Raw genomic sequence first — 8,711 nt, 5'->3', positions numbered from 1 at the left:
TGGGTAAAAGACATGAACACACATATACCTAAAGCAGATTTATAGGTGGTTAAAAAAAGCACATCTAAAAAGATGTAGCCTCATTAGCTCTCAGAGAAATGAAAATGAAAATCATAGTGATGTGTCACCTATCAGAATGGCTAAAATCTGTAATTAGTTCACTAAACTTTTCAGTTAAAATAAAAACAGTTTCAGTCTATAATACCAAAATGAAATTTATAGTTGAAATGTGGAACACCTTGTCAGGGTTATTCCAGAAAGAACCAAGGATAGAAAAATACACAATATCCTAAAGGAAGAAGTTGAGGGAGGAGCAGTCATTTTGCCTTTTGGTGGACGGCTCTGGACGGCAGGGTTTTAAGTGCTCAGCTGAAGGGGACTGTCCTCAGCAATCTCCTTTTTTGGATCAGAACTAGCTAAGTTTCCCTAACAGTATTGAGCCTGGTGAAGAGGTAGAGAGGTCCCTATTTGAGTTGAGTTTATGCCAAGTTATTAAAGGCCATTTTCTGGAAGGCTTCTATTATTGCTTTTCAGAGAAACAGCCAGAGTCACTCGGGTCTTTGAAATGTTGTCAAGGGTCCTACTTTGGACAACATGAGGTTCTGAGCACCAGGTGAGGACGCTGGTCAGGAAAGAGGCCGCAAAGGCCTATTCTACGAAGAACGAGTAAGAACTGGAATTGGAAGTGGAGTCCCCTTGGAGAATTTTTGGCTTTCCTGTTTCTGTAATCTGATGGTTAATAAAACAGGTTGGGGAATAGATAGCAAGAAGACAGTGAGCTCACAAGCATTCACACGCTTGCCTTCCTGGAGTGCTTTGGTCTCCAAACCCAGATCCTCACAAGAACCAAAAAAGAAGACCAAGATATAATTAAATTGGACATAGAGATTTTCTAACATCTTATGAAGAATATCGAGGAAATATTTCAAGCACCAAAAAAACTCTCAAGGCAAATCAGAGTATTTCTTTTCAACCCCCATTTTTCTTTTCCTATTATTAGTCACAGTGCACAAAGATACTTCCAAAACTTTATTTGTATAATGTAGTTGGTTTACCCAAATGTGAGGGCGTCTCATTCAGCATATTTTATCAACCAAAATATGTAAAAGTCTACAATATTTGCACAGAACAGAACCACAGTCTGTGGGAGATATTTCTTCAGTTTTGGGCCTGGCTGTTAAATTTTCTCCCCAATTTTTTCTCATCAATTTTCTGTTTATTGTACCAAGCTCTATCAGTTAATTTCCCATAGATGTAGGTAATGGAGACATTTGTCATAACTTAGTGTCTTCATTATTAAGGAAAATGACAGTGATTGAAGTGAATAGATCTCTCATTCAACTCAGGGGCAATGTCTTCATTTGCAGCAATTCTGATTGCTCTATTCACCTGTCCCAAAAAGGACAACACATCAGAAGGGAACTTAAAAGTGGCCCCAGGAGCTACCTGTGTCAAGATCTACAATGATGCCACCTTGCTGTGGGAGCTAAACTCTAAAGCAGCCTTTACTCCAGATGCACCCTGCTTCCAGGCCCAGGACAGGTTTTTAGACAGCTGAACTAGAAAGTAAGCAGCTGTCTCTAGAATACCAGCAGTCCCATTTGCAGCCCTGAGCCTGCCTCCACTTCGCCTCCGACCACACTGAGTGCTGCCTCTCCTCCCAGTGTCTAATCACTGCCTGCATGCATTCCTGTCTCCTTTGGTTGGAACCCAAATTCCTTTACTGAGAGAAATTACACCATGTTTCACTGTGTCTTCGCAATATCACCCCAAAACTTTTAGCACTGGGAATTTTAAATAAATACCTGCACTCAGAATTTTATATTTTATCCAATTAATTTAGCATACACTTAACTGAGTCTCTTAGAAAAATATTCCTGTGTTATTGCACTTTAAATCGCAATTGTAATGTTTAAATCAAAGCCCCTTTTAAAGAATTTCCGGTGAGCATGTGTGTGTGATATCTTGTGTGTCAGGAACTCCTTCCCTGTCTTTGCTGTCCCGTCAGGCTCACAGGTACCAATAAAATCCTAATAATGTGTCAGTGTTCTTTACAGTCAAAGGAAGGAGAAGGACCAGTGTCATTATCATAAGATCCACAGAGTTGCAAGCCTACTCCATTTCGTGCTTAGGGACACCAGATTTTTTCAACTTTGAACAAAAATGGAGCAATGGAAATGGAATCACACAAGAAGTGACATTTGTTGCGGAATGAGCTAATGACAATGCTTGTCCTGTGTACCCTGAGATATGCATGATTTTTTTCCTTGTAGGGATTTTAAGCAGTTCTGCCTGTTTCTTTTCCTCTGGAGCTTGGTGCTGCTGCCCATGATCACCGTCCTTCTGCACACCCTCCCTTCCTGTACAGTCCCCGCCACCTTAACAAATGCTGTTCAACTTCTTTACAACTGTAAGCTAACAAATAAAAGTATTTAGAGTCACCTCAAGTCTTTTTCAACTACTTTTTAAAAAGGAGAGAGAGGTGGGGGAGGAAGAGATCTGTAAACCTCAGGACAATCGTCTTCCTATTTCTTGGAAATCTGGGATTTGTTCATGAAATACGGAGATCCACCTGAAGTCTCCTGAAGTCTTCCCTGTTGCCCACTGTATCCTCTGACATCCTTCTCTTCTGTCTTTGAATTGCATTGATTATGATTCAGACTATACCCACATTTACAACTGATTTGGAAGTTTTAACTAAACAGAATCTCTGTTCTCAGTTTTCAGAAAAATTATTATTGTATGATATCAAGCAGTGTAGTTAGAATTCTTAAGAAATGAGAGACAAAAGATTCATAAAATCCTTAAAAAAAAAAAAAGAAATAAATGTTAACACCCTTCCACTGTCAAACTGGTATTGATCATTGTGTTAGTCCTACAAACTCAGATTCTCTCAAAATTGAAATAAGCTCCCATCACTTTGTTTCTCTTGATGCTGGAGAGAAATTGTCTAATATTTCTGGACATGGGAGGAAGGAACAGATGTCTGAAGCCCAGAGGGACATGTAATGCTGAGCTTCTCTTTTTAAGTTAACAGGAAAATTACACCACTGGAAAATGACTTCAGCAGCATGCAAGATAGCATCACAGAGATCCAACTTGCTTTAGGAGAAACCAAGGTAAAAATGTTTCCAGAACAGTTTCCTTCATTTTGGATGGGTGTAGGACTGCTATGCCTGCAGTGAAGCAGAAAATAAAGTTAATAATAAGAAAGTTAAAACAAAGATTAAAATGACCCAACAAGGGCATATGGTCCCGAATGTATGTGAATATTTTGCAGATGTGGAGACTCAGATGAGCTGTTCAGGTGACTCAGGCCAATATGGGCTTCCATCCAAAGGCATTTGGACATAACAGTCAGCAGTCACTCTCATGTATCCATGGTGTGCCCACCAATGGGCTAGGCCTTGGATTCCAATATTGCTCAGAAATGAAACACTGCAGGCATCATGCCACATAAACCATACTGCAGAAGTGAAAGTCAGTTCAACAACCTAGCTGCCCATCACATGCCAAACACGTTCCTGGGCACCAGGGCACAAAGGTAAACAATGCTGGCTTCCTACTTTGGAAGAACTCACAGTAAGATTGAGTCCAAAGTAAGCCTGGAGGGTTATGATTGGGTCCCTAGGAAAGAATCAGTGTGGGGACTTCCACAGATACCCTCAGAACTGAAGATCACCTTCTTTTTCTCGCACTTTCCAGAGTAGAAACTAAAAGGAATGTGAAGCTTCAAAACACAGATACACACTTTTTTTCTCTGATAGATCTGAGGGCATCTTTCCACTGCCTTGGAAGTGGACGTGGACATAGCACTTGTACAGGGACCAATCTTAGGGCAGAATAAAGAGCAGGCCTGGGAAGCTCAGCCCAGCCAGTCTGGGGACCACTGACACCCAAGTGTTCACAGTACCAGGAAAGCCTGTCAAGAGGTGGGTGCACCTCATCTCTGGTCAGTTGTCAGGCTGTCCGATGCACAGGAGGATGTTTAGCAGCATCCCACAATGTTTTCCATGATCAGTTGTGACAACCCAAATGTCTCCCAGCAAGGCCAAGTGTGCCCAGGGGTCAGACTCATCCCGGCTGAAAGCCGGCCTGGGGAGGACACCATGGGGACTCGCCTGTCCCTCCCACCCCACTCTGAAGTGAAGAAAAGGCTGTGCCCTGACTGCTGCCAGAAGCCATCTGCCCCTGCAAACTGACCAGCTCCACCTGCCAGGTAGCAACACTGAGGCAGCAGATTGGGCAATAGGAAATGACCTGTGGGCACCCGGGAATGCTGTCCAGTCTCTCCAGTTCCCATTATGTGAGGTGAGGGCATTTCTTGGTCAAGCCAGTTTGTGTAAAGCAACTCCTGTCACTTGCTGGTGAAGCCATATTAAATGAAGAGTGGTAAATCCAAGGAAGGCCATGGCACATGGCATACATGGGTCAGTATCAGCTGGATGGGTCTGCAAAGGCTGGATTCACCCAAGGCCAAGGCTCTCCATCTGTGTGCAGCTTTTGCCAGACTCAATGTTTAGCAGGCAGCGTGTCCCAAACCTCCCCCAACCCCCAACCTGAGTGCCTGGCACTGCTTACAAACCTGCTCCTCTTGGTCTTCCCCATCTCTGTAAATGGCAGCTCCATTCTGCTAGGTGCTCAGGCCACACACACACTTAACTCCTCTCTCTCCCCAGTGCTGCTGTCTCATCTTCAAAATGTATCCAGAATCCTTGGCCCAAGCTCCCGCTTTGGGCCAAACCAACATTGTCTTTGGTTAAGTCTATTCCTAAAGCCCATAAATGTCTCCCTCCACCCACAGAGCAGCTTCAGTGACCCTGCTGAAAACACATGGCACTGAATACAATGTGATATTTCAAATAGACAAGAGAACAAAAAAGAGACACTACTGAAATAACTAGTGAAATCTCAATAACATCTGTAGATGAGTCAGTCATAACCAATGTTAATTTCTTAGTTTTGAAAAATGTACTGTGCTTATGTAAAATATGCACATTAGAGGAAGTCAAGTGAAGGGTTTATAGTAATTTTCCATACTTTGTGTTGTAACTTTTCTGTAAATCTGAAATTAATCCAAAAGGAAAATTTTAAAAATTAAAAAGAATGTTGCATAATGACACTTCTCTGCAGAGAGTTCTCCAGCGCCACCTCATTCATGCGGAATCAAGACCCAGTCCCTTACAGTCATGCCCAAGGCCTCCTGCAGTGTGGCCTCCGTGTCCATTCTGACCATATCCCCCACTGAGGCATGCTGTTCCGGGCACAGTGGCCACTCCTGCACTTCAGTAGCCAGGCTTGCAATTGCACATGATGGTGTCTCTAGCAGCTGCAGGAAAGGAGCTACAGATGAAGAATAGAGAAGGCAAGAGAAGGGAGAGGATGGCTGAGATGTGCGAGATGTGCGAGTGAAGTTGGCTCCCTGTGGAAGCAGGCCTCCCTGTTACAACTGTATACACTGTGGTAGAGGAGGGAATCTGATCTGATTCCACCCTTCCTTTCCCCCTGTTGACAGCAGGAGCTTGCATGTCTGGGTCTTGCATTCAATGACTGTCGAACTGTGTGAACTTTGGCAAACCTCGGCAATTCTAGACCTCCCTTTATTCTCTGTAAATGGTGTGATACCTCATAGGCTGAGGAAGCCAGTGTTGAAAAGTGTGAAGATATGAAGAATGATGTTTCCACTGTTGCTGTCTCTTGTCCCTGTCTTTCTCTGTGTGTGTTGTTTTGTCCTCTCTTAATGGAACGCTCTCTTTCTTTTCCAGTTCCTCCTCTCCCACATGCAGTTAAGCCAAGCATCACTTCTCATGTAGTTATGCTTTTGCTATTCCTAGATATTAGTGGAAGCAAAAGGACAAGAGGAGGAATAGATGGTAGAAACAGTATTTAAGAAGTATTGTGTCCCACCTGCATTTAAATTTTGGAAATAAAACCATATTTTAACAAGTTTGTCATTAAGAAGTCATGGAACCGGAGACAGAAAGCAACAGTCTGGGCTATGTTAGCATTATGGTGGAATCCACAAAACAAGATCCCATCCTCACCATTTTGACAGTGGCTCTGGTGTTCTGTCTTTTCCTAAACAGAAAGGAGATTAGGAGACAAGACAAAGACATGTCTGCAGGCCTCAAAGGAATAGAATTAGAACTCAGAGTCTCCAGGTCACACGTCTGAGTGTAACAAGCTCCCATCACTTCTAGCATGTCTTGTTGGAGATGTAGATGCATGACAAGCAACCCTATGATATCTGGGTTCTGTTCAGAGCTGAATCTTTAGTAAAAGTCACCCCTTATATTCTCTTTTCCCAGAATAAGCTTCACCTGGGGCTCCTCTCCAGCCTGCTCATGTGTTTGTCTTGATGCTGTGGGTCCCAGTCAACATTTCCCTTCACGTTGGTGCATCCTCTTTTGACCCCTAGCTTCCATCCTCTCATCTCCCTCAAGGATTCCCTCACAGCCTTGCAATGCGTGCATGTACCTGCCTGACCCTGGTTCAGCATGTGGCATTGTCTCCTCTTGACTTACGGTGCCTCGAGCCTCAGATAGACCTGAGATCAGTCTAAATAGGAAGCATCTTTCAAAGCAGGGTGTTAGCAACATCTTTGCTTCTATTCCCCACTCATACAAGAGCGCCCAACTCAGCCAGTGGCTCAGAAAGGGGATGTGGAGTCCTGTACCTGAGAAGGTGTCATTCTGCCAGAGGCCACCATGGAAGCACCTCCCAGGATGACTTTTTATTCCCCAGGCAGGTGCCCTGGATTGCCAAGCCACATGTGGGCAGAAGCAGCCTTTTCTCTGAGCTGTGAGGAGAGTCTGTGTGCATCCACTGCAGGAGGAGGACTTCCCCGCCTGGTTCACCAGAGGGTGGGTGAGGCGGATGCAGTGGGACCACCCGACATGTCTTGTCTCAGCCTCAGGCAAGAGGATATAGTCACTTTTCGAGACCACAGACATCTCAGTAATGACCCTTTTTCTTTTCTTAAGAATCCTCAAGTAGGCTTGTTTTCCTTTGTCACAATATCTTTCACATGCATTTTTATACAAAACATACCTAACAATTTCATGTGAAATGATTGAAGAACACCAGCTATATAAGCTTACTTACTTTCAAGGCTAAATGTGCGCAGCCAATGAGAAAAGTCTAGGAGGCACCAAAATCTGTTCTCACTGCTTTTCACTTGTTTTCAAGTCTTATTCTCAAATTACAAGTCTTCCAGGCCCATTTATTTTTAACATTTCTGAAATCAAGATTGACCTGGGAAATCACATGTTATCACTGCTTGAGAGAAAAGTAGGAGCTGTTCCCCGGCCCCTCTGTGATGAGTGATGGGCCGAGGGGTTTCTCTCAGGACACGTGTCTTTCACCTGGGCACCATCTCCCCGCTGTGGGAGGAGGCTCAGCCTCCTGTGGTGCATCCTCAGGTCCAGCAGCCAGCTCTGGTGTCAGGAAGCCTGTCCAGCTTTAGAGCAGGCTGAGAATGCTTAGCCTCCAGATCCAATCTGAAGTTCAAATCAGAGGCTGCTGGTGATCTTTGGTCTTGACTCTCAGGGTGCTCTGGAAGTGGCAGCCCTGATCACATCACGTTTACTGGGTGTTAGTCTGTCTTCACTTTTTTGTTTTGTTTTTGAAAATGGAGCTTGATCACCTTCTCTGAGCTGCTCTTCAGACTGGCCCCCAGGGCATGTCTGCCTGCAGAATAAACAGCCCAGGCAGCTGCAGTCCTGGACCCACCCTGACAGTGCCCATGGGCATCATCTGAGACCACATCACCTTCTGGAATGTGCGGCACCACCTCAAACCTTTCATGCAGGTGACCAGGGGTCCTGGCCTCCTGGGTGCACATTCCTTCATCCACGAAGAAGCAGGTCCAGATTTTCAGGTGGGTCTATCCCTGTTCTCCATGCCATAGCTTGCTCCTAGCCAAGCACCAAGAGAGCGGCATCTTTTACAAGCACCTCAGGTCATTGTGGTACCTGGGGATGAGCTCACCTTGGCGTTACAGGTGGGGGCCTCTTCCATCTGGGCCTTCATTTTCTTTAAAAAATATTTTTAATTTTTTTTCCTTGAAGAGTTAACACTCTTTACAATCAAGCTTCTGAAAAAAAATATAAAACATTAGAAGTAGGATTTTCCCCACAACAATAGTTACTTAATATACCTTTTCAACTTTTAAGATTTACTCTCTTATAATTAAAGATGGACATGGAGATGATGGTAGAAACAAATGAGATGGTTGACCAAGTCATCCCCCCTCCCCCACCCTTGTGCAAGTTTGAACAGATGGCCTGGAAGGGCTCAAGCGAATCTCTCAGCCCAGACAGCTTCCGTTTGCACCAGGACAAAACCTTAAGACCTTTCCTCCTCTGTCATGCTGCAATTGCCATGACCTCTCATAGGGTAGGTTTCTAGGTGTCCCTTCTAATAATCGCCTCCCATTTTTACTGGCATCTTTTTCTTTGAATTGTCTCTTGAACATTCTGCCACTGTGCTTTGTAAGACCCAGAAAACAAAGATACATTGTTGAGAAGTGCAGGGCTCTGAAGACCCAGAAGAGGAGACAGGGAGAGGCAGACTTTAGGAAAGGAAATCTACCTGGAGCAGAAGCGACAGAAGAGGGTGGGGACCTTCAAAACACAAACTAAGATGCATTCCATCAAATCCCCTTCCACGAACTTATTGACAAGGAGTCCTAAGTTGAAAAACTGCTTTTC

General features: G+C 44.3%; 1 long non-coding RNA gene across 2 annotated transcripts in view; it reads right to left on the bottom strand.

The window, feature by feature from the left end:
* Positions 1-1,016: 1,016 nt before the first annotated feature.
* The window catches only part of LOC105375825 (uncharacterized), a 47,970-nt gene continuing 40,275 nt past the window's right edge, over positions 1,017-8,711 (bottom strand). For both annotated transcript variants that reach the window (XR_001745894.2, XR_928859.3), the window contains one exon: positions 1,017-8,095. This is a non-coding gene — a long non-coding RNA (uncharacterized LOC105375825). The remainder of the gene's footprint in view (positions 8,096-8,711) is intronic.

Source organism: Homo sapiens, chromosome 8 (assembly GCF_000001405.40).
Source record: "Homo sapiens chromosome 8, GRCh38.p14 Primary Assembly".
Classification (NCBI taxonomy): domain Eukaryota; kingdom Metazoa; phylum Chordata; class Mammalia; order Primates; family Hominidae; genus Homo; species Homo sapiens.
This window is presented reverse-complemented; position numbering and strand designations above follow the sequence as displayed.